The sequence below is a fragment of the Homo sapiens genome, chromosome 13 (genome assembly GCF_000001405.40).
Source record: "Homo sapiens chromosome 13, GRCh38.p14 Primary Assembly".
Lineage (NCBI taxonomy): Eukaryota > Metazoa > Chordata > Mammalia > Primates > Hominidae > Homo > Homo sapiens.
The window spans coordinates 48483536-48509621 of NC_000013.11; the positions used below are offsets into that span (position 1 = coordinate 48483536).

The 26086-nt window shown below is 42.6% G+C and overlaps 2 protein-coding genes across 17 annotated transcripts in view, besides 5 other annotated features; both read right to left on the bottom strand.

Annotated features, from left to right (window-relative positions):
- The window catches only part of RCBTB2 (RCC1 and BTB domain containing protein 2), a 46933-nt gene continuing 26274 nt past the window's right edge, over window positions 5428-26086 (bottom strand). For 12 of the 16 annotated variants that reach the window (NM_001352429.2, NM_001286832.2, NM_001352428.2 and 9 more), the window contains 5 exons: window positions 19189-19379; window positions 18207-18333; window positions 16086-16225; window positions 12656-12786; window positions 5428-6716 (listed from right to left, as the gene is read on the bottom strand). In NM_001352429.2, coding sequence (NP_001339358.1) covers window positions 6576-6716; window positions 12656-12786; window positions 16086-16225; window positions 18207-18333; window positions 19189-19379 — 730 coding nt within the window. In that variant the 3' untranslated portion in view covers window positions 5428-6575. The other 4 variants (NR_147985.2, XR_007063658.1, XM_047430069.1 and 1 more) reach the window with 4 other exon arrangements.
- Window positions 5545-5684: an enhancer, noted in NCBI's record as "active region_7728". NCBI's record gives its function as "activates an Ori minimal core promoter by ATAC-STARR-seq in GM12878 lymphoblastoid cells {active_cell/tissue: GM12878}" and the evidence as "EXISTENCE:reporter gene assay evidence [ECO:0000049][PMID:35858748]".
- Window positions 5695-5744: an enhancer, noted in NCBI's record as "active region_7729". NCBI's record gives its function as "activates an Ori minimal core promoter by ATAC-STARR-seq in GM12878 lymphoblastoid cells {active_cell/tissue: GM12878}" and the evidence as "EXISTENCE:reporter gene assay evidence [ECO:0000049][PMID:35858748]".
- Window positions 9946-10025: an enhancer, noted in NCBI's record as "active region_7730". NCBI's record gives its function as "activates an Ori minimal core promoter by ATAC-STARR-seq in GM12878 lymphoblastoid cells {active_cell/tissue: GM12878}" and the evidence as "EXISTENCE:reporter gene assay evidence [ECO:0000049][PMID:35858748]".
- Window positions 17228-17387: a silencer, noted in NCBI's record as "silent region_5334". NCBI's record gives its function as "represses an Ori minimal core promoter by ATAC-STARR-seq in GM12878 lymphoblastoid cells {active_cell/tissue: GM12878}" and the evidence as "EXISTENCE:reporter gene assay evidence [ECO:0000049][PMID:35858748]".
- On the bottom strand, window positions 20849-23271 carry LOC124903173 (uncharacterized). Its single transcript, XM_047430824.1, has one exon. The coding sequence runs from the start codon at window positions 23170-23172 to the stop codon at window positions 22549-22551; it is 624 nt and encodes a 207-aa protein (XP_047286780.1). The 5' UTR covers window positions 23173-23271; the 3' UTR covers window positions 20849-22548.
- Window positions 21972-22241: an enhancer, noted in NCBI's record as "active region_7731". NCBI's record gives its function as "activates an Ori minimal core promoter by ATAC-STARR-seq in GM12878 lymphoblastoid cells {active_cell/tissue: GM12878}" and the evidence as "EXISTENCE:reporter gene assay evidence [ECO:0000049][PMID:35858748]".

A 26086-nucleotide genomic window follows, 5' to 3' on the forward strand; every position in this document is an offset into this window, starting at 1 on the left:
AGACCCACCTTAGGTGTTAGGTATTATTTGGCATACGTACCATATTATCATTCTAATCATTCTAAACTCCCCCAAAATTATGAAACCCATCTGGCACCAAGGGTTTCAGACAAGGGATTATCTTAAATTTATATGATTTCTCAAAAACATGGCAGATGAAATTCTTTCCTTCTGGGACAGTGACATGTTTGTTCCTGAAAGAAGAAAGGCAAAGTGCGCAGAGCAGGAAAAGCAGCAAGCATATCTCAGTAGGCTGTATTTATATTGGGCGGGGATCTTAAATGAAATGCAGTCTCTTAGGTCACGTCAAAATCAAGCAGCCTAAATGACACTAAAAAATTTTGTCTGCATGGCAGAGAATTGTTCACTTCTAGAGATGAATTTAGTATTCCAATGAATAAATACTCACTATAATAAAAGGGGCAAATTCAAATTCATATATTTACTTTTTTTTTTTTTTGAGATGGAGTCTCACTCTTGTTGCCCAGGCTGGAATGCAATGGCACGATCTTGGCTCACTGCAACCTCTACCTCCCGGGCTCAGGCGATTCTCCTGCCTCAGCCTCCCCAGTAGCTGGGATTGCAGGAGCACACCACCACGCCGGCTACTTTTTGTATTTTCAGTAGAGATGGGGTTTTGTCATGTTGACCAGGCTGGTCTCGAACTCCTGACCTCAGGTGATCCGCCCACTTTGGCCTCCCAAAGTGTTGGGATTACAGGTGTGAACCACTGCACCTGGCCTATTTACTTTTTCATTACAGCTTTCTAAAGGTACAAATGGCCAGGAACAAACTAGTTATACTAGTTCTATTATCATCTGGATGGTTTCATAGAAACTTGCTTTTAGAAGTACATTTTTGTTCCTCATTTTAGGGCCAATATAGTATACATAGCATAAGTAAAGTTTCAGTAGAATTTTCCTTTGGACTAAATAGATATTTTACAGGACGACTCAAACCTTACCTCCAGAAATATTAAATTTCCACCATAGGTGTAGCTTCTTAAATAGAAATATGGTAGCACTGTATAATATCTACGTGAGATTCAAACAAGCTCTTTTAATACACAGTAAGCATAGTCATCCATTCTCAATACTTTTTTTGTGTGTCCATTATCTTGGGACTATATATAGTAGTATTGACATATGACAATTGTCATATTAAACAATGACAATACGAAAGGTTAAATTTACTACACAGACCAACCTCAGTTACTTCCTAAATGCAAAATGTTATTTTTAACTGAATTTACTGAGAAAATTGGTAAGCTTTGTATTTCTATGTGTTTTGACAAAGATTGAATTAAAAATAACAGTAAGATTTGATTTTTTCCTTTCTCTTCACAATTCTCCCAACTCTGTTGATGTAATAAAGGGGGGTTGCATAATAAGATAGTTAAGATTATATAGTTTGTAGTTGCATCTTTTCATTATTCTTGGTTAAGAATCCAGCCTCTAAATAAAACTCTCCATGTTAAGGTCCAGAATGACTGGCAATTTACATGAACTATAACCTGAAGAACATACTTAACATTCTTAACCTTTGTTTTTTAAAATGAATTCAATGGCATCTTCACAAACCTCTATCAGCAGATGAGGGCACTTCTTCATTCCTATAAAATCTTAACCTTTCTCTGTGTAAATTAGTGGACAATTATTTTAGAAGCACTAAAACATTGACTTCCTTGTGTGAGCAAGAGAGGAAACAAAACTTTTGGGAAAATCTAAGATAAACTTGTGCAAAAAAAAGGATCCATTAATTTCTAATGTAGTGTCCTTATGAAAATGTACCTTTTCTCTCATATCACTAAGGTTCTTCAAACACTCATCTGTTAGAAGGAAATTTTAAAAAGGAAATCTTTCTCCTTCCCATAGGAGTGTCAATGGCAAGCCTATCCTCAAAGACCAGAAAGAAAGCATGTTTTTTCAGATAGATGTACCCACACCCAGGACTCATCTGTCATCTCTCAGATCTAAAACTAGCTCTTCTTTATTGTTTGGCGTCAGAAGTTTTAAGGGCTAAACCACTAATTCTCATCCTTGGCTGAACATCAAATTACTTGTGGAGCTTTTAAAATGTACTGAATTTGGGCAGGGCGTGGTGGCTCATGACTGTAATCCCAGCACTTTGAGATGCCAGGGTGGGTGGATCACCTGAGGTCAGGAGTTTGAGACCAGCCTGACCAGTATGATGAAACCCTGTCACTACTAAAGATACAAAAATTATCTGGGCATGGTGGTGTGCACCTGTGGTCTCAGCTACTTAGGAGGCTGAGACAGGAGAATCGCTTGAACCCGGGAGGCAGAGGTTGCAGTGAGCTGAGATCGCGCCTCCAGCCTGCTGGGCAAACAGAGCAAGACTCTGTCTTAAAAAAAAAAAAAAAAAAAGGCCAGGCGCAGTAGCTCACGCCTGTAATCCCAGCACTTTGGGAGGCCAAGGCAGGCAAATTGGCAAATCATGAGGTCAGGAGATCGAGACCATACTGGCTAACACTGTGAAACCCCGTCTCTACTAAAAATACAAAAAATTAGCTGGGCGTGGTGGCGGGCACCTGTAGTCCCAGCTACTCGGGAGGCTGACGCAGGAGAATGGCGTGAACCCGGGAGGCAGAGCTTGCAGTGAGCCGAGATCGCACCACTGCACTCCAGCCTGGGCGACAGAGCGAGACTCCGTCTCAAAAAAAAAAAAAAAAAAAAAAAAAAATCCATAGATTATTCTGTTGTGTGCAGAGATAAGAAGCATGTAAACCTACACAAAACAAAGCTTAGGGAGCAAAACGGGGTAAGAGTCCAGAGTAACAATCTGTACTCTGGCAGTATGCCTACTGACCCATGGTGGAGTGTGTAAAAGTAGTCCATTTTTCATCCCCCAGTAAACTTATCTGTTCCCCTTTGAGTGTTCCAATTTTTATATGAAGTGAGTTCACAAAAGAAAAAGGCACTGAGGAGCTTCAGAAGACCCTGTCAGAAATAAGCAAGAAAAAGGAAGACACTGTGAAGCTATAAAAGCTTGGTCAGCTATAGCTAGCACAGGAAGGTGGGGGAGAGAGACCAAAGAAACAAAGACTGTGGTTGTCTAATGGCCAGAACAGATGCTATAGGTGCTTGCCATGTTTGAATGTTTTTTTGTTGGATAAAATAGCAAACTTATCAAAAAATGAAAACAAATGGTATAATGCTACTTTTAAAATAACAACAGAATAAAACTATATAGTTTTAAAAACAGGATTCAGATTTAGATCTAGAGACACTCAGACTCTGCCTCTACCAGATAAAGTCTGAAGAAAAATGGTTAAGCAATTTGTTAAAGAGAAACTCTGTCCATTTAGTGTTGCTGTAACAGAATAACTGAGGCTGAGTTAATTCATAAATTAGAGGGGTGTATTTGGCTCATGGTTCTGGTGGCTGGAAGCTTCAAGATTGGGCAGATGCATCTGCTGGGGACCTGGGGCTGCTTCAAGTCATGGTGGAAAGCCAAAGTGGGGCAGACGTGCACAAAGAGATCATGTGGTGAGAAACCAAGGTCGCTGAAATCCCTTTGATTTTTTAGACAGAGTCTCACTCTGTCACCAGGCTAGAGTGCAGTGGTGCCAATCTCAGCTCACTGCAACCTCCGCCTGCCAGGTTCAAGTGATTCTCTTGCCTCAGCCTCCCGAGTAGCTGGGATTACAGGTGCCCGCCACTTCACCTGGCTAATTTTTTGTATTTTTAATAGAGATGGGGTTTCACCATGTTGGCCAGGCTAGTCTTGAACTCCTGACCTTATGATTCGCCCGCCTTGGCTTCCCAAAGTGCTGCGATTGCAGGTGTGAGCCACCACACCCGGCCTGAAACCCCTTTTATAACAACTCAGTCTTGGGAACTAATTCAGTCCCAAGAGAACCAGAACCCACTCTTGCTGGAGGGCATTAATCTATTCACAATGGATCTGCCCCCAGGACCCATACACTTCCCACCAGTCCCTAAGGCCTCCCAACACCACCACAGTGGGGATCAAATTTCAATATGAGTTTTGGCAAAGGACAAACCACATCCAAATCATAGCAGAAATAATGGATTCAAAATGTGACCCAACGAAGAGAATGAAAAGACAAGCCACAAACTGGGAGAAAATATTTGCAAAAGACATATCAGATAAAGGACTGTTACCCAAAATATACAATGAACTCAAAACAATTTTAAAAAAAGATTTAAAAATTGGCTACCAATCTGAACAGATGCCTCATCAAAGAAGATATGCAGATAGCAAATAAGCACATGAAAAAATACTCCACATCCTATGTTATCAGGGAAATGCAAATTAAAACAAAAATGAGATGGCACTATACACCTATTAGAATGGCCCAAATCTGGAACACTGACAACACCTAATGCTGGTGAGGATGTGGAGCAACTAGAACTCTCATTCACTGCTCATGGACATGAAAAACGGTACAGCCACTTTGAACTACAGTTTGACAGTTTCTTAAAAAAAAAAAAATACTCTTAACATATAATCCAGTAATCATGCTCCTTGGTATTTACCCAAAGGAGTTGAAAACTTATGTCCACACAAAAACCTGTACACAGATGTTTATAGTAGCTTTATTTGTAATTGCCAAAACTTGGAAGAAACCAAGATGTCCTTCAGGAGGTGAATGGATAAACTGTGGTACATCCAGGCAATGGAGTATTATTCAGCACTAAAAAGAAATGAGCTATCAAGCCACGAAAAGACTTGTGGAAACTTAATTGCATATTATTAAGTGAAAAACCAATCCAAAAAGGCTATATACTGTATGATTCCAACGATAGGACATTCTGGAAAAGGCAAAACTATGGATACAGTAAAAAGATCCATGGCTGCCAGGAGTTAGGGGCAAAGGAGGAAGGGATGAATTCCGCAGAGCTCAGAGGATTTTTAGGGCAATGAAACCACTCTCTATGATACAATAATGATGGACACAGGTCATTATACATTTGTCCAAACTCACAGAATGTGCACCACCAACAATGGACCCTAATGTAAACTATGGACCGTGGGTGATAATGATGTGTCCAAGCAGGTTCATCAGGTATAACAAATGCACCACTCTGGTGGGGGGTGTTGACAGCAGGGAAGGCTGCGCATGTGTAGGGCATGAGGCATAAGGGAAAACTGTGTTTTCTTCACAGTTTTGCTGTGAACCTAAAACTGCTCTACAAAAATAGTCTTCAAAAAAGTCACCTCACCAATAAAGAGCAGACCAAGACAATAATATGAATGATAATTAGGTTGTTTATAAGCTATTTGTGGTCTAGGGTGGGCTTTCCTATGAGACTTTATCCGAGTAACTGCTTGATAAGAGCATAATATATCCAATTTATTTATGTACATCTAAGAGACATGAGGTTGACATTTTATAATTTTGCTGCTGTTTTGGGATTAAAAAAAACCCCAACACATTTGTTCTGTTATCTGCAAATAAGCACTTTATTACCAAATAGTTCAGCATCAGAACAAGAATTCTAATTCCAAAAGGGTTTCCTTTACATTACATGACATTGTGAGATACACATTAGAAGAATCTGAGACTATGTTCCATTTCAGTTTCTCTTTTGCAATTAGGTAATTTGTTTTGATCTAAAAAGTACAAATTTATCTCATTCTTGTTAATGCTGTCCATGAAATGTAAGTATCAGTTCCTTCTCAGCTAGTGCTTTATAGTTATACTGGTGCCAGGTTAAGAGACCTATTTTATAGTGAGTGACATGAAAGTCAACTACAAGAAAAGCACATTGTCATTTTCATTTACAGAGGCAAGTCCCTCTTAACACAAAGAAAAGCAAAGGACCTTATGTGATTATGTAAGGCAGATCAGCCCAGGAATTTCATTCAAAGATAATACTTCATACTCCATAATCCCATGTGAGAAATTAATGAATGACTCCAAGTAAAAAGAAAATTAAAATTAGCCCTTGGGCCTTGACAATTTAATTGCCAGGGCCTTTTGTCAATTCTAAACAATGTTCTAAATTAGCCACAATTTCTCAGAATGATATACCAGAAGAATATGAACCTCAATAATTACAGGCTGTTTTAAGTTTATTTTGTGAAAGTTATTCCTTCTCCCAGTATTCCATGACTAAAGCTGTTCTCAGGACATACTGAAGATTTATAATAAATTGAGTGCCTATTATACACAAGGCACTGTGCTGAGTGCTGAAAATGTGGTAAGGACAGACAGCACTCCTTGTCAAGCTATCTATGTGGTATCAGCCAGCTGAATAATGGAACATTTGGGCCAGAATAGCATATACTGAGACCAGGGTACCAAAGGTGTCCAATTTAAGTGACTCAAAAAGAGGAAATGGTAAATAAGATATTTCAATTTTTTTTCCTTGACCTTAGTCACATCTGATCAGAACATTCAATGCTTTCTACATAAACTCTGGGTTTAGGCAGACAAAGACCACTCACCACCATCCTTCTTCTGACAGTTACAAGTACTCAGCCAAACATAGCTCATCATACATACTATTAATTAAAGAGAAGTGATTCATCTCTGGCTTTTGCAGGGGAAATGGAAAGGCTCAAAAACTTTCCTGCAGATGGGATCAATTTTTAAAGGCTCCAACTCTGCTTGCTTTGCTGATAAAGTTCTTCAGGAGATCATGGTCCATTTCTGCAAAACCTGATGTTTGTGTTACTACAGTCAGATGGTTTATGCAAAACCTGAAGCAGAATTCTTCTAAATCCTAGGAACAACAACAAAGATGGTTTAATAAATTCATATTTACTAATTCAATGCAACATAGCATGAAAATCGCTAAAACAAGTTAGGCAAAGAAAAAGGATTTAATAGGCAAGTGGAGGAAATGATGGCATGGTAATACCTAAAGAATAGTCATAAAAAGTATAACAAGTATGAATCATCTATGCTTGTAAAAATTTAAGTAGCACAGAGTAACATTCAAGTTCCTCCGCACTAACCTAGGTAAAGAATCTAACTTTTTCTTCCCAGAGATAGGCATGTGAGTGTGTGAATTCCTTGGTACCTTTGTCTAGTGACAGTATTTGTAACTGTTGATTTCACTTTCAATAATTGTTAAAAGCCCTATACTCCTCTTTTATATTTATATCAGCGTCTTTAAGTATGTCTGCCTATAAAGAGTTGATGGAAGAAAAAGGTAAGCCATAAAAAGCAGTAATGCCAAGAAATTGCTGCTCTGAAGTCATTAACAGGCCACCGCTTTTTCTCTTTATGAGACGACACAGGATGGGATGGATGGATTTGATCACACTACATATGCCTTCAATAATCTCAACTGGGAAAATGCTTTAAAGAAATCATGACTTCCAAGTCTCTGGTAAGAGAGACCCAACAGATTGGTGTTTTCTGGCTTACTGTAATGCACTCTGGGCCAAAGAATAATGCTGTAATAATTCTCTTGATTAGAACTATAACTTGAAAATCAGAATGAGGCTGACCAGATGCTTTTTGGCCCTGGAGAAGTGAGGGCAGGGTGCTGAGACCTCCAATATGCCTCAAACCCTAGGCTACTTGGCCTAGGACAAGATGCTGCTAGGTGGTGGTCAATTTTTAAAAGTTTCCTCTCCAAGCTACTGTAGGTAATTTATAAAAAATAAAAGCCCCAAATACTTTCTAAGCAATTACATATGAACATTACACACGATAGTCTTTTCTTCTTTAGACATAAATTATAGCAAATGCTGAAGATGGAAAAAATAAAAAAAATAGCAATGCTGATAGCCTTGCCAATGTACATATAAACCTACGGTACATTTTCTTTTAAGAAAAGAAAGAAACTATACTAGGAAAATGTTTATTTCATGCCTGAAGATAACTGGGCAGGCTGTTGGTACCACACCAGCAATATGATGTGTCTCTGTCCCAGGTAAGCCCTCAGTGATAAACAGGGAAAATTCACACACCCACTTGTCATCACAGCATACTATACATAAAAATGTGCTTCAATGATACATGCTGAATATCTCAGAGTCCATTTAAAATTATGTGCTGTTGCTTAAATTTTTAGAAATGACATTTTTGCCTACAGCACACAAAAGTGAAACCAGATAGAGATGCATCATCTCTTTGGCTGAAGTCTACAGAGAGGAATGGAGGAATTCATACCTACACCACACACATTAGAGTGTGTCTGGAGTTAGGTGGCTGGGCAGTTTGATGCCTCACAGATCTGGACAGCATCAGGAAAATTGCTAATTAATGGGAGAATGAAAGGACCCTAAAAAGTTATCACTTGGATCCATGCTCCTTTACTTTATTCTAGAGTGGGATCTTCCCCTAAATACTAAATTAAGGACAGGACTTGGAAAGAGTTCCTGTGATTCTAAGAATTCAATAAATTGGCATAGGGTGGTGGTACTGGTTATAGGGGAATTCTGTCCATAGAAAACAAGGCCCCCATTATTTTTCAGTTAAAGAATTGTAGTCTATTTTGAATGCTACCACTCTGTATGGCTTCATGTTCAAAATGGGGCCCTCTGTTCTGTCCTGCAGTCCTACCACATTCTCCTAGTTTGCTCATTCTCCTACAGGACTCTCATACTTCTCCCCATAAGCCTGACATCTCCCCTCTCATCCTCATCCTCAGCTGACATGACTTCCTATTTCACTGAGAACCAGAATCACTTGAAAAGAACCTCCACAAGCTCTCCCCACCACGTCTCCTTGCCTATTACAGAGAGGCCTGTGGATGCAATCTTCTCTGGATCAAAGGTCCAAGACCCTATAGAAAGCAGAGCCCTTGCTCTGTCACTAGATCCCACTGCTCCACCTACTAAGGGGCCCTGCTCTACCAACTGTCCCCTGCATCACTGGCTTGTTCCCCTTCACTGAGTCATTTGCATCATTAGACAAGCTTCCATTTCCCACATCTTAAAAAAGTAAAGATGTTTTACCTCAAATGCCCCAAAGCTCTTCCTTTTTATCTTTATAATAAAATTACCATGAAAAGCTGCCTCTATTCCCCATCTTCAGTTCCTCTACTTCCACGCTCCGATCAGACTTCCCGCCTCACTGCGCTAAAACTGCTTGCCAAGGCCCCTCCGGCGTTCTCATCGCCAAACCCACTCGTCAGTTCTCAGTCCTCGTGCAGACGTGCCAGCAGCATCTGGTGTGGTTCGGACTTCTTCCTTCCTGTTTCGCTTTCTTTCCCAGCCTGCAGGAAACGGTCTGCTGGTTTCTCTCTTCCGTTACTGCTCACTCCTCTTCAGTCTCCTTTGCTGGTGTCTCCTTATCTCCTTAACCTCTAAGCACAGAGTGCTCAGGACTTAATCTTCAAACCTGTCTCACGTCACTGCCTCATAGCTTTGACTTCAGCACATTTCTCTCTGACTTCCAGGCTTGCTTATCCAATTTGCTTATTAGACATTTCCATTTGGATGTCTAATAGACATCACATACTTCTCATATTCAAAACCAAATTTCTGATATTTCCCCCAAAATGTTGCTCCTATCTTCTATATCTCAATAGATGCCACTTTCATCCTTACAGCTGCTGAGGGACAGAACCTCCTCAGTCGTCTTTTTTTTCCTCACATCTAATCCATCCGCACATCCTGTTGGCTCTACTTTCAAAATGTATTCAAAATCTTAACCACTTTTTACCATCCCCACAGGTGATAACTTGGACCAATCCACCATCATCACTTACTGGATTATACAGCCTCCTAAGTACCCTCCTTCACACACACACACACACACACACACACACACACACTCTTCTCTCTCTCACCCTCTCTCTCTCTCCACACACACACACACACACACACACACTCTCTCTCTCTCTCTCTCTCTCTCTTCTCTTCTCTCTCTCACCCTCTCTCTCTCTCCCTACCTCCCTCCCTCCCTCCTCAACACAGCAGCCAGGAGGCAGGAGGATTACTTCAAATGCCCATCATATCTGCTCCTCTCCAAACCCTCTGATGGCCACTCACCTTGGAACTCTGATTCCTGAAACTTGCCTATGGACTCTGCAGGCCCTGCCTCCTCCCACACACGCCACTGTGCACCTCCACCGCACCATCTCCCTGCCTCATCAGCTACTTCCCTCCCCACTGTGCTCCCTCCACACCGGGCTTGCTTTTCCCAGAACACACCACCCACACCTCCTTCAGGTCTCTGCTTGAGTCACCTGCTCACTGATGTCTTGCCTCCCTGACCATTCTATTTAAAATTTCAACTTTCATCTCAGGATGGCATTCCCTAGGCTGTCTTCCCTGTCTTACTTCTTTCCATATCACTTGTCACCATCTGACATACTATATATCCTATTCATTTATTGATCACCTATCTCCCCTCACCAGAAATTCCCATGAGAGCAGAGATTTTGGATTGTTTTGTTCATTTGCAGTACCCCAGTGCGTAGGGCAGTGCCAGGCATGTAGCAGGCACTCAGTGAATATTTGTTGAATCCATGCATAAATACTCCTGATTTCAAAATACTGAGGACAATGGAGAATTGTAGTTAAACATGCGGTTTTAAAATGTGCCCAATCTTGGACTGTATCCCAGTTTTGCAGTTTACTAGTTTACTCAGATTACTTAATCTTTCCAAGCTTCAGTTTTCTCATTTATAAACTGGATCTAATATAATAATGCCTATGTCATATAAGGTTGTTTTGAGGAGTAAATGAAACATGAACTGTGCTTAGAATAATCCCTGGCTCATATTAATTATGTACTAAGTGACAGTCCAGCATGAGGGATAATAATTTGCTGAAAGAGCCCATTTCTTGCTTATTTGAGCCAGGCAAATCAAATACAGCACTGTTCTTTATTTACGAAAGCTTGTATTTTACATTAAGTACATATACAGTCTATTTTACTTATAGTCTATTATACTAATTTAGGGTACAGCAATTAGCTGGACAGGCTGTAGTACAACAGTGCATCTCTATAGGCAAAACTGAACATCCATGAAAGGGGTATTTAGTAGGTACCTACTCTGTGTCAGACACCGTCCTAGGCGCTGGGGATATGGTTGTGAGCAAAACAAAGTCCCTGCCATGCCTCAAAGAGCTTACTTTCTAGAAAACAGAGAGCTGGAAGGTAGCCAGACAAATAATTCACATAAATAGAGAATATAAAAAAGTATTAAAAATGAAGCCTGATTCAGATGCAAACACCACGTGCCACCATCTTGACATCTGAGATGGCCCTCCATCACCGTGGCTCATCACTGTGATGCTCAAGAATGGACTAGGAAAAGTGCATGGATTTTGTCTGACCATGAAACATTCTGTGTTGTAAGTGCCCAATATGTTATTGCCTTGATATAAAACATTCACTGTGCTGTTAAATGTCATTGTTTTGAGGTAGTACTTTTTTTTTAATGTTAAGTGAAAAAAAATCTAGGTTTCAAGTATTTACAAATATATAATGTGACATAAAACAAAAACTCAGAAGCTGTTATATGAAAGTGCTAATGTTCTCTGGTTGATGAGTCATTACCTTCCTCACTTTTTGTCTTTTACAAATTTTCTTTAATAAGCATAGTATTATTTATGTAAACAGAAAAAAAGTTATAACCTTTCATCTACTAAAATGTCTCTGTTTTCTTTGACCAAAGGAGAGGATATCCTTATACCAAAAGGAAACTGACTCGAAGATGTTACAGCCTGTTTCCTAAAGATTTGGTTCTAAGATTGGTTTTCTTTCCTTTCTTTATTATCATAACAATACATGGTCACTGTAAAAGTTAAAAAAAAATAAGCAAAGAGAAGAAAATAAAAATCACCCACAATCCCACCATTCAATGATAACCACTAAGCATAGTTTTCAGTCTTTTTTTCTATGTAGATAATGAATTTTAGTTTTTTATTCAGCTATTTATACTTTTTCAAAAAATAAAAATAGGATAAGTTTTTCACTTAGTGATATATCTTGAATAGCTGCATAATTTCTTGATATTAACATTTTATAAACAAGCCTCCACTATTCACACTAACCTTTTTCTGATTTTTCAAAATTATAAACTGCTGAAGTAAACACCTTTGAAGCTAAGTCTTTGTGCAAATCCATGATTAATTCCTCAAGATAAATACTTGTGAGTGAATTCCTTGAAGAATTATGTCTTTAATTTAAGGTGCTTAATACATATTATACCAAATTGTTCTCCATACCAATTTGTACTCTCATCAGCAGTTTAGGAGAACACCATTATTCTGATCCTATACATTATCTCTAAAAATATATTCCTGCTTTGACAGGTGAAAAGTTATACCTTGTTTTCATTTATGTTTTTTGTCTATTTATAGAGCCATTTGTTCTTTGGTCCATTTCTTTCAACCAAACTGTTCCTATTGTCTTTTTGTTTTTCACTCTGGTAAACAGACTTCATTATATGTTGCAAGTATTTTTCCCAGTGTCTCATTACTTTGTAAGTTTCTCTATGGTATTTTTAAGTGGATAAAAGTTTCTTATCTTTTTAAATCAGAGCTATAAATCCTTTATGGCTTCTGCCTTTGATGTCCATCCCAACATTATATAAATACTTGCTTATACGTTGTCTAGTACTCTTGTTACTTCATTTTTTAAAAAATATTAAATATTTCCTCTACCCAGACTTTCTTTTAGTTTAAGGTACGAGGCAGACACCTGGGTTCCATTTCTCCAGGAGGCCGGCAGCTGGAAGCAAGCTTTCCTTACCTGTGCATCATACTTCACCGCAGCCGAGAGCAGAGCGATGGCATTCTCCTCGCAGATGCCTTGCTTGATAGTTTGTTGGCAGAGCTTTTTCAAACGATTTTCTCTATAAAATGTAGCCAAGTCTAGCAGTCCTGGCGGAAAGAGGTGTTTATTAGGGGGAGTGATTTCAAGCATCCTGATTTACAGTTGCTCACTCAGCCACTCAGAGATGATTTTGACACTATTTTAGATATAATCCTCAGTGAAGCACTGCATAGACTGATGCTGACTGACACTTACACTTCAGTGTGGGGCTCTACCCAGGATGGCAGCCAAGCTGAGCAAACATGATACACAAATCATTAGCTGTTGAAAAACAGGAGCACAGGGAAAATAGCTTTAATATTTTTTTCCTAGGAAAAAAGCATGTGCGCCTTGAATGACCCCTTCCCCTGCAATCTCAATGTCAGCTTCTCCTGGGCCACTCCCAGGAGCACACACACATGCTGTAAGAGTGCCCGCCGTGAAAAGAAAGAAAAGAAAAGAAGAAAAGAAAACAAAAGAGAAGAAAAGAAGAGAGGACAGGAGAGGGAGGGGAGGGGAAGGGAGGGGAGAAGAGAAGAGGGGAGGGGAGAGGAGGGGAGGGGAGAGGAGGGGAGGGGAGAGGAGGAGAGGGGAGAGGAGGGGAGGGGAGACCCTTTCATGGACACGTGTCTTCCTCCTGTTACCCTATCCCACTGCTCCTCTCTACAGCAAAACTCCTAGACAGAGCTATCTGTATCTGCTGTCTCCATTTTCCCACCTCCCATTCTGACCTCAAGCCATTACAAGCAGAACCCCATCCCCACCACTACTGCAGTCACACCCTTGGTGGTCACACCTGTGGCAGTCACAGTGGCTTTGAGGGTGCAATATTCTCTGGTTTCCTCTTACTCGACATTTACACAGAATTTGATATGGTTGATAATGCTCTCCTTAGGACACTTTGTCACTTGCTTGCATTTTTCTTCTCTTTAATTAGTTGCTCCTCAGTTCTCTAGGCTGGATCATTTTTCCTGACTTCCAAATGTTTGAGTGCCCCAGGGTTAAATCCTCAGACACTTTCCTCACTTACTTCCCAAAACCCCAGCCCCAGGGTTTTAAATATCATCTATATATGCAGGTGAGTCCTGTTATATTACCTGTCACCTATTTTCAAGTAATTCAACGTAGACTGGGTGAGGTGACATATGTAAATTAATTTTAATCTACCCCAAGGAATGATAGGAAGTACTCTAATTGAAGCAGTCAATCAGCATCTGAAAGATCCTATTTGTTTTTCTGAATCTTCATTACAGGATTTGTAATTAGCATAAAGAATGTCAGAATTAGTTTGTCATTGCTGAAATGAGTGGTAGCCAGGATCAAAAGGCTAGCTGAATCCGGCTACTAGAACACTGTCATGTCCACCTCAAGCTAACTTTTCATGCAAGGTACTTAATAGAGTGTACGAAGTATAAAGAGCAGGGATTTCATCAATTTTACCATATTAATTGTTTTTGTGTCTATCTGCTAATAAATCTTATACATGTGGTAGACTTTGGTTGGAAACTTGCTTTTTTAATAACAAATATTATCAAAGTTATAGAGGAAAGACAGATAGCCCACTGGAGGACACTGAAATCTTGAGTTGTGAATGGCTTCATTGTTTTTGGCCCCAAGCTTCAGACACACATGCAAGCTGCACTGCCCTAAGAGAGGACTCTGCCCCAAGCCCCAGCTCTGCGCCTCCTCCACGCACACCTTCAGCACAGGGTGGCTAAGGAGCCACATGCCCACTTCTAGACCACACTTTGGGTACCTGGGAACCTGGGACTGCCTGCATAATTGGCCTTGAGGCCACATGTGTGGGTATTTCCTCCCTTAGACCCCACCACCAATGTGCAGACCCCCTGGCCCAAAAGGGTAACCTGGGTTGGGGGTGGATAGAGCTTGGAATGCAAGCTAGGGTGCCCACACACCCTTCTGCTGGAGGAGGGGTCTGTCCTGCCTGTGCCATTGGGTTCTGGCACAAGAAGTCCTGCAACTCTAAATGTCAACTAAAATTGAAACCTGTCCTTTCAGTTCTTAATGAAATTACATTTTTCAAGGTGGGAGGATTGGACATATTTTTATCTGAAGTTCACTAGCTTGACATATAACTTTAAGTTTTTAGACATATGGAACATAGGTCTCCATTTGGAGTCTTGGCTACAGCCCCACAAATGTTAGTGGTGGGCCGATAAAAAACTGCCACTCGCGGCCGGGCGCAGTGGCTCACGCCTGTAATCCCAGCACTTTGGGAGGCCAAGATGGGCGGATCACCTGAGGTCGGGAGTTCAAGACCAGCCTGACCAACACGGAGAAACCTCGTTTCTACTAAAAATACAAAATTAGCCAGGCGTGGTGGTGCATGCCTGTAATCCCAGCTACTCGAGAGGCTGAGGCAGGAGAATCGCTTGAAACCGGGAGGCGGAGGTTGTGGTGAGCGGAGATCGTGCCATTGCACTCCAGCCTGGGCAACAAGAGTGAAACTCTGTCTCAAAAAAAAAAAAATTATCACTTGGGTATCTAATGGGAAGCTCAAACTCCTTTGACTTTCAAAGTCCAGAGCAAGCCTGTTGTTCTCTATCTTCCTCACCTCAGTGCCATTAAGGCAGCTACCCAGGCCAAGTACCTCAGTGCAGCCATCCTTCTCTCTCAACTCACACCTCTCATCCCATCTATCAACAAATCCCATCAGCAACCTCTTTAAAATATATCTAGAATCTGATCTCTTTTCAATACTTCCACTGCTATACAACCCCAACCCAGGAGACCATCATCTCACACCTGAACCAATATAATAACTGATGTTTTAAACACAGATCACATCTCTCCTGTGGCAGAAGCTGCTAGTTGCCTCTCTCCCGACCCCCACCCCAACACACACACACACACACACACACACACACACTCTCTCTCTCTCTCTCTCTCTCTCTCACACACACACACACATCCATTCTTCCTTTCTACTGAAACCACAGAATTTTTAGCCAAGCTACGGCCCTCTGGAAATGCCCATTTTCCCAGCCTCCTAAGCCACTGGGCACAGACTTGACTGACTCAGGCCCACAGTCTGAAATAAGTGGAATTCCTGGGCCCTGCTGGTGGAGACACGGGGATCTGCTGCATGGCCCTCAGTCTCTGTCCCTTCCTCCATGCTGCTGCCTGCAATGCTCCACGGTGGTGATGATTTGATTCTTCTCTCTCTTATCTGTCCAGTCAACCTTTGTAATAAAGTAGTAACAAGGGAAACGTGTTTGGATTCAACACACACAAAAAGAAATACTTCTGTAATTACCCTCACAGTGACTTTCTTTTAGGTTCTATAGAAACCACCTTGTCAGTTCCTCAACATTTTGCCAAGTTTTTGGAAGTCTTTGGCAATTACCTACTGCCTCCTCAGGAGAAAGGCTGATGCTGTCTGTGTATAGGTATTCCAGGAAGGCCCGGTAAACAGGATATGAAAATTCACTCATTTCTACAATATCATCCTCGTTATCTTCCAATGACGAACGAAAATGCTCACATCTGAAGGAAAAAAGCAGTATGTCAGGTCCTAGCTTCCCAGCCAGGACAGATGGCCTCTGTGAGGACCACGTTCTTCTCTCGAAGGTGCACGCTGGCACGTCCCTGCTGTGGCTCCTCACTTTCTTTGCTGGCCAGGGTTTTCAAACAATCATCTATTCAGCAAGGCTGTATATACAAACCTGCTGCCAGGGGTGGCCTGGGAAGCAGCCCCAATGGCCGTGCTAATGGGGACAGAGCTGGGCTCCCTGGCATCTCTCTCACACCACAACCACTGTCAGCATTTAGAGAAATCAGTGGGTTTATTTTTATAAAATCTAAGTAATTCTGTTTCCTCACTCCATTACGGGTTGAATGATGTCCTCTAAAAATTCCTGTGTTGAAGTCCTAATGGCCAATACCTCAAAATGTGACCTTACTAGGAAAGAGAGCCTTTAAAGAGGTAATCAAGTTATAAGAAGGTCACTAGGGTGGGCCCTAATCCAATATGACTGGCATCTTTATAAAAAGGGGAAATTTGGACAGGGCGCGGTGGCTCACGCCTGTAATCCCAGCACTTTGGAAGGCCGAGGCGGGTGGATCACGAGGTCAGGAGTTTGAGACCAGCCTGGCCAATATGGTGAAACCCCATCTCTACTAAAAATACAAAAATTAGCCAGGCATGGTGGTGTGCGCCTGTAATCCCAGCTACTCAGGAGGCTGAGGCAGGAGAATCACTTGAACCTGGGAGGAGGAGGTTGCAGTGAGCCGAGATCAGGCCACTGCACTCCAGCCTGGGCAATAGAGAAAGACTCTGCCATCTAAAAAAAATAAGGTGGGGGGAAATTTGGACACAGACATGCACAAAGGGAGAATGCCACATGCTGACTGGAGTTAAGCAGCCACATGCCAAGGAAGGCCAAAGACTGTCTGCAAATCCCCAGCAGCTAGGAAAGAGGCAGGAACAGATTCTCACTCACAGCCTCACAAGAAACCCATCCAGGTGACACTTTTGATCTGGGATTTCCAGCCTCCAGAACTTTATGTTGCTTAAGCCACCCGGGCCATAGTACTGTGTTACAGCAAACAAATCCACCCCCCTTCTTTCATGCAGGTTGATGTGATATAGAGAGAGTGAGCAAACGCTGCACAGCTTGATCTTACTAAAGAGGAACTTGAGACTAAAATGCTGTGTTGAGTGTGTGACTCACTGCAGTAGGATTTAAATATCTGTTACACAACAACATAATGAATTTCAAAATCATCATGTAAAAGAAAGAAGCCAAGCACAAATGAATGCATCCTGTATCATCCCATCTAAATACACTCTAGAAAATGCTAACTCAGCTACAGTGACAGAAGGAGCTGCGGTCACCCAGGGCTAGGACATGAGGGGTCTTTGAAGGGTGATGGGAATGTTCTCTGTCTGGATGTGGGGCAGTGGTTTCACAGGCGTAGACATGTGTCAGCACTCATCAAACTGCACATTTGAAATGCACACAGCTCATTGCTCAAAAACATTCACAAATGTGATTTTTTAAAATCTCTGTGCTAGCCTCACTATAGACCTTTTTGGTCTGGAAAGGCCTTGATCTTCTCTTTCTTAAACCATCTAAAAGTACGCCACAAGTGATTATAAGAAGGTGATTATTAAGAGCTGAGCTTGATTCCCAGGCAGAAACGGTAACTGATGGACGTCCAAGTATCAATACAGTGTTCAGAGCACAGGACACACTTGGAGCGTGCGCTGGCTGCTCCCTGCTGCCAAGGTGACCACGCCACTTTTCAAGCCTAAGGAACGCCTATGGTACTGGTTCCCGGAACCACACAACCTGTGTTATTTCTTGTTTCATGTATATTTCTCCCCGCTCCACTGTATGCTTGTAAGAGCAAAAACAGCCTTACAATTTTTCTTGATTACTGAGGTGCCTAATATAGTTGGACACTTAGAATATAATTGTTGAACGAATTACTTTTCTCAATTCTCAAATAAATGATTCCTTACCGAATCTTGAGAAGGACTTTATGTGCATAAATGTACTTTCCATCAACTAGAAACTTCAGGTCTGCAGTGTCCGGGTTGTCAAATTCCCTCTTCAGTGACTCAGCCACTGTGAGGTGGTCATCAGGTTCTAGGAGAATAATGCAAATGCTTCCAGAGTTAGCTACAGACATAATGAACACACAGGACAGGATATGGCACTACTCTACTGGTACTCATGAAAGTACCAATTCCTCAAAATAACTGAGCAACTGAGCAATGGATTTTTTCCCCTGAAGACAGATTTGCATCTCTGTAATCATTAAGAATAAGAATCTCACAAATATCTGCTTATAAATCTGGCAAAATAACAAGAAAAAGTCCCAAGCCACATCACTAATTTTGCATGAAATTTTAAACATTTGAGTAAATACGCTAGTTAAAAGTAAAAAACAGTTTCTCAGTAAAATTAAAAAGCACTCAAATAAGGATAGGGCACAATGGCTCACACCTGTGATCCCAACACTTTGGCAGGGGCAGAGACAGAAAGATGGTCTGAGGCCCACGGTTTAAGACCAGCCTGGGCAACACAGAGAGACCCCACCTCCAAAGAAAGTTTCTTTAAATTAGCCAGGCATGGTAATGGGTATGTATAGTCCCAGCTACTCAATAGGCTAAGGCAAAAGGATCGCTTGAACCCAGGGGCTGAAGGGTACAGCGAGTTATGATTGCACCACCGCACTCCAGCCTGGGCAACAGAGCAAGACCTCATCTTTCTCTCTTAAAGAAAAAAAAAAAAGTAGTCAAATAAAATTACTTTTAGTTTAGTACTGGTGTTGATTTCTGATGCTCTGAAGAAAATAAAATTAGTTCCCTTTTGTAGAAGCCCATCAGAGAGAAATAAATTATGATAGTGCACCTAACAAAATCCTCATTATCAAAGTAAAGCCCTGAGCTCTTTCCCAGATTTTCAGGCCATCCCCCAAATGGACAGTGACCAGCTTACCCACGGAGAGGAGGCGCCACGTGACGGCGGGCGTGGCAAAGCAGGCAAACACGTCGTCAGTGCAGGAGAAGTGGGTGAGGTGCGGGAGGATCACGGACTGACCCCGGCACTGGCCCCACATGTACACGTGCCCACCCTGCGTCTTGGCCGCAGACGTGTGTGTGGAGTGACAGGCTGCAATCTCGATAATCCTAAATTCACAAACACACACCACATAAGCACAGTGACCGGGGCAGAAACAAGTTGGGTCCTCCTCCCGCCAGGTTTAACTGATGTGGGACATCATAAAATTACAAAAAGGGTCAGGAAAAGGAAAAAACAAAACAAAACAAACCACCACATGACTCATACACCTCATCTCCTAAATTATCAGGCACCAAACCGTTATTTACATTTAAGCCACACTTCAATGGCACTTATAACTCATGAAGATCTGTTTGTACCACTTCTAGCCAGTAGGCCTATAAAAATATGCACCATCCTGTTTTGAAATTCAAGTATAACCCAAGAGAGTAGTGGTCCCCCCTACCAAAAAAGGGTGGTTTAAAATTTTTCCCCCTAAAACATCACTTACTGAAGAAAATAATAAAGATTTGGGTCATCTGGACTGAGGGCCAATAAATAAATATTTTAATGAAGACTTCACCAATTTTTAGAATGCTATGGGTCATTCCAACTCCTATTGCACAGAGTAAATTCAGTAGTTCTACCACACTGGGCTGTATGACCTGGAGCCCAGGAGAGCAGTTTCCTAGGATCACTATGTGATATGCCCTACTGCTCTAAGTTCACGATTGATGAGGAGGTAATTCTCAGAACAATTTTTTTTTTTTAAGACAGAGGAGTCTTGCCTTGTCACCCAGGCTAGAGTGCAGTGGCACAATCTTGGATCTTGGCTCACTGCAACCTCTGCTTCCCAGGCTCAAGCGATCCTCCTACCTCAGCCTCTGTAGTAGCTGGGACTACAGGTGCAAGCCACCACACCTGACTAACTTTTGTATTTTTTGTAGAGACAAGGTTTTGCCATGTTGCCCAGGTTGGTCTTGAACTCCAGAGCTCAAATGATCCGCCCACCTTGGCCTCCCAGAGTGCTGGGATTACAGGTGTGAGACACTGCACCCGGCCTCAGAACACTTCTTAATGGAAAACATTGTCTTGTTGATCTGGAAGTAATTTCTTTTCCATCAGAATAAGCCACCATACAGATTGAAGGAAAATGGTAAACTCTTTTAACCCAGGGGAAGTCCCCATCTTGATTTTGCTACAGCAGACAATGGTACCAGCATCCTCAGAGACTTAGGCTCAGAACTTCAGGGTCATCTTTGACTTCTCCCTCCTCATTTACCACTTTCTTTAGAATATCCAGTTAAATAACAAAGATGCTTTCTTTGTAATGTCTCCCCTCAGCCACCACTGGGGGGTCAGGTACACCCCACATCTGGCCCCTGTAACAGCCTCCCAGGTCTCCCTTGCCTTAGACTCTCTCTTCTGCCCCAACTCACACAGTGCTGGCAGGTTAATCATCCTCTTGGAACACCGTTCTCATCAGAACTTTCACACGGGCAGTGGCTTCTCTCAGATAAAATCCTGACACAAGACATAACTCCATCCATGATTTGGCGTCACCTCTGTACAGACATCTCACAAGTCAATTTTGTCCACACACCCTGTTTCAACAAACAGGCTTTCTCATTGACCTTCAATGACTTCATACATGGTTGTTCAGGAATGTTCTTTCTCTCTGCCTTACAAACCCTACCCATCTTGTAAGGCCCAGTTCAAACTGCCCCAAGTTTGAGGTCTCCCGCTCACCTGAGCTCCTGCAGCACTTCCTGTCCACACCATTCCAGCCTGGCCCTGTTACTTTATGCATCCGTTTCACCTGTTCAGCGAGATGACCAGTTTCTGGCAGGCCTAATCACTGGCTTAATTCTCTCTAAGCACATAACGTGGTGTCTTACTGAATATAATCTATGGGTCACTTTACTGACTGAGGAAGACTCAACAACACAGAGCAAAGGTTGTGTAAGACCCCACTGACACGGGCTAGCACCTGAAGGGTGAGGATGATCCTCCACTGCCTCCTTTAGGCAGTTGCTCTCAAACCAGGAGGGAGGTGTTATCACAGAACCTGGAGCTTGTACCGGCTCGCCTCAGAGGCTGAGACATGCTGTTCTCATGTGCGGTAATCTCACTGACTTATTATGAGGATCGTTCTTAGCCCTTGAAAACCACCCAAAAATACTAGAGGAAAAAAAGGCTACGATGGCCCACAGTGGAGAGCTCAGGATTTGGAGTCAAACCTAGGTTTGTTTTTTATTTCTTTCTTTTTTTTTTTTTTTCTTGCAGCTCCAGCTCAAAGGAAAACAAAAACTGGGTTTGAATCCTCGCTCTACCACTAGGCTGCGTGACTAGCACTAGGCTGCGTGACTAGGGGAATGTCACTTAGCACCTAGGAGCCTTGGTTTCATCACATTGCAAGGGTGGTGTGAGAATCAAGTGATAAAATGTTAAGTGCCAACCAGGCACAATGTCTGGGTGCAAATGGTTGCATGACAATAGAGGTTTCTTTACATTATGATGACTACTCAGCCTTTTAAGTGACAAAGCATCTTTTAGGTGGAGACCATGTATTTCTAGTGATCAATTCAAATTAGTACGACTTTCCCTAGAAGAGTCCTTTCCTGATATTTGCAGGGTTAGGCCAGTCCCCTGGCCTAATCCAGTGCTGTGCAAAAGAACCGTGCCAGACGGGGAAAATGGTTAACAATATTTGGCTTCTCAATCAGCATCATTCTTTTCAACAAATAAAGAAAATGGGAGAAGGAAATAGAATAAACTTATTCAAAGAGAAGTACGTCCACTGTTAGTATCGATTTTACTGGCAAGCCTCCTAAGTTACAAGCAAATGTGAGGATAGCGACATGGTCTGTCTTCGTGGCCTGGTGCTGTGGGCAGGACACGCGGATCAGAGTCAGAGTGTAGTTCTAGGGCCACGTTATTTAAATTCTTATAATCAGCTTTACCATCTTTTCAAAGAAAAAAAAAGATGAGGGGGAACAGGATACAGGCAGCAATCCTCTCACGGTTTGTGGTTTTGTGTACGTGAAATAAGTTCCTTGGCAGAGCTGAGAACCGAAAAAGGCTTCCTTCCGTGACTAAAAGTGTTTACCAGCTGCTGCAGAACTGTGGGCCCGTGATTTAGCTGAGGAACTCATGATTTAGCTGGAGAGAGAAGTCCAGATCTGTGACTTTGCAAATAATTCCCAAATGACATCAGTGTGGCCCTGACTACAAGTCTCCAGTGAGTAAGGAAAAATACCTGGGGGCTCCTCAGGGAATATTTCAAGTAAAAGGGAACTAACTGGGCCATGTATGCTTTGGACTGGCCAGAGCCGTGGAATAAGAGTCTGTGAGGTGGAGAGCAATGCAGGACCAACATGCAGGCAGAGCTGGAGACGGCAGGATGGCAGAGAGCAGCATCGTACAAGACCTGACAGGGACGGAGGCCAACGCCGGGATCGGAGGGCAATGAGGCTTGCCAGGAACAGTGGCGTCGGCTTCAATCCAGAGCCGAAGAGTTCTGATTTGATCTGATGTGATAGGCAAATGGGAAACTGCTTTGTAAACAGGGCCATGATGTGAGGAAATGGTATTCTCAGAAAGACTGACCTGGCCACAGTGGTGTGCAAGACAGGCTGCAAGGGAGAGAAAGAATAGTCTGGAAGGCTGGCTGGGGAGGCCAACCCAAGCTAGGTTGCCAAGGAGTAATGAGGGTGGCCTGGATGTTAATGCAGAGGGAGGGAGAGGAGCGGAAGGTGGCCCAGGGGATGAGTCTAAGAAAACCCCCGGCTGGCAGTGCTGAGGGAGGCAGAAGCCGCGCTGGTCAGGTGGCAGGTGTGGGGGCCAATGTACACATAGCTGAGCAATTAATAAAAGGAAAAAGGGCCTTCTGTGTTTGAACCACCTCAATTGTAAAGCCATCTGGCATTCTCTGGGAGCAGGGGAGGTTAGGGCAGCCCAATGAACAATGTGAAGATAAGCATTTATGAACTGCTCTTCCTTTCTTCAGATTTTAGCACTTTGCAGTGACCTACTAGGCAAAGACTTCTACATTTTTTGGAATCATTTCTGTGTCCTTTGGGGTAATGTTCTATGAAAAATGTCAGTGACTGGAGCACAACAGCATCCTTCACTGATCTGCCCAACATCAGAAAAGCCAAATAATGCGGTTCTTATGTTCCCTTCTGAGATGTTTGTTCTTTGTTATTAGCATCCATGAAAGAGGGTAGCCTCTGCCCCTAGAGCAGCTGGTGACCTGAAGTGGGACACTACTCTCTAGAGAAGGGCTGGGACAGACAGAGCCAAAGGGTGGGTCAGGGAAGGCCATGTGATGCTGCCCGTCCCGGGGCATGGCCTTGTGACATATACCTGGCACACCCGGCTCCACATGGGAAGTCAGGGGTGGGGCGCGGATTTGGTTGGCTGCAGTAGCTGCTACAGGAATGAGAATGCAGAAAGTTTAGAGGGTACTTTCAGGTCTAGGCTTGTGACCCAAGCAACCGCTAAGGAATCCTGCCATTGCCTAAGGTCATCGTTGGTTTTTAAACTGGACTCACACCAAGCAGCAAACACCGACGTTCCAATTTTCCAGCCAGACATGCGACAGACAATGACTATCAACTGAGCTAACCTTTACTGTCAGGATGTCTGGCGTATTTCACACTTTTATTTTGTAGCCAATCTTAATGGGAAAAAAAATCACTACATGTTGATAATAAACAGGTTTTGTGTCACCTTGAGGGAATGATCAACAACAACTGCTGAGCTTATTGGCTATGAAGTACTAGAAATGAAAAAGCAGAGAGTGAGAAAGAATAGAAACTGGAAAACCTTGAGGGGGGTGAAAGGTCATCTGTGAGGGAGAAGAATATTGGAGAAGAAACAGCAAAGATGACAGATCCACAGCAGGGATTCCCAATCCTGGTTTTGTAAGAGCCCAAGTATTATACCAACTACCTCAGAAGTCAAAGAATTCTCAGAAATTCAAGGAAAAGTTAGCTTCACATCAGTTTAGTTTAAAATATGCCGTTAGGGAACGTTAAGAACAAAGATACAAATGTTGGTCAATCTGTCCCCAAGGTACTGAAACTTCAGAAAGATTGGATGACTGGATTAGGAGAAGACAATCATTTTAATCATTAAACTTATTTTTATGTAAACATAAATTGCTGACAAATATCAGTATTCTCCATCATAAATAAAATCTTTTTCTGGGAAAGATTTTAAAAGGTTTCCCTTGGATGGTTGCTCCAGCAAAGAAAACAATGTAGACAGATTTCTCCTTCCCACTTCTGTGAACAGGTAACTAAGAACTGAAACCCACCCCACCCCACATTCAATCCAGTTCCTAATTAGTCAGGCTTTCCTGCAATGGGCCGCAGAAGAGTCAGAAGTAAGGCTCCGGGGTTCCCCAGGGATAAGTTATGACATATACTTGACTTTCCCATCCCTGGAAAGGGTGGAGAAGTGCAGAACAAGTCCCAGCACAGACCTATAAACCCCTCCCTCGGAATACGCCCGTGATTGAGTGCCTGGTTGAAACTGTGCAAGTTCAGAAACCACCACTTGAAATTCAAGTACGGAAAACAGAAAATCAGGAACATCTCATTTAAAACATTCATCCATGTTTTTTTTTTTTTTGAGACAGAGTCTCACTCTACTGCCCAGGCTAGAGTGCAGTGTCGCGATCTCACTGCAACCTCCACTTCCTGGGGTCAAGGGATTCTCGTGCCTCAGCCTCCCAAGTAACTGGGATTACAGGCATGTGCCACTGTGCCCAGCTAATTTTTATATTTTTAGTAGAGACAGGGTTTCACCATGTTGGCCAGGCTGGTCTCAAACTCCTGACCTCAGGTGATCCGCCCGCCTTGGCCTCCCAAAGTGCTGGGATTACAGGCGTGAGTGCCTGGCCCATCCATGATTTTTATAACCAAATTATAATTCAAAAATAACTGCAGTTTAAGAAGACAGAAATGCAATAGATAACTCCCAATGTCCAGTTAAGCAACTTGGCACTCACACAGCTTCCATTCCCATTACCTGCTTCTCTGCTACTTTTTCTTTCTCCCACCTTGACGCCCCACAATCCATCTGCCCCAGTGAGAACCTGAATCAGAAGCCTTGGGTGATCATTCTGGATCAGGGACCAGCAGTGCAATGCAGCAAGTCACTGGTGGGCAATGACGGCAGATTCTGTGAGACCAGGGATGGATGTGCTAAAGTTCTGGGTAAGTGTAGGAGCACCATAAAAAGTAATGGGCCAGGCCAGGCGCAGTGGCTCATACCTGTAATCCCAGCACTTTGGGAGACCGAGATAAGAGGATCACTTGAGCCCAGGAGCTACCAGCCTGGGCAATGTGGCAAAACCCTGGCCCTGCAAAAAACACAAAAATTAGCTAGGTATGGTGGCATGCTCCTGTAGTCCCAGCTACTCCAGAGGCTAAGGTGGGAGGATCGCCTGAGCTTGGGAAGTCAAGACTACAGTGAGCCGTGATTGCACCACTGCACCCCAACCTGGAAGACAGGGAGACTGTGTCTCAAAAAATAAAAATAAAAAAATAACAGGCCATACAAATCCATCGTTTTTATTTCCATGCCATCTTTATTTGATCCTTTAACTCTGTTTTTCAGTTTAAATGTTAAGTGTCCCTACCAACTGAGGCACTTTTGTGGTTATTCAAAGCCTCAGGACTGTCCCTTCTCTTCTGAGGAGCTCTAAGCTACAAGATGTGTGAATGAACAGCTGCAGGCATCTACCTGCACCACCTCCTGCCTCCATTATTGTCCCTCCTCCCAATTCTGAAGGGGCCAGGGGTCTTAAATTTTAAGGTTTTTG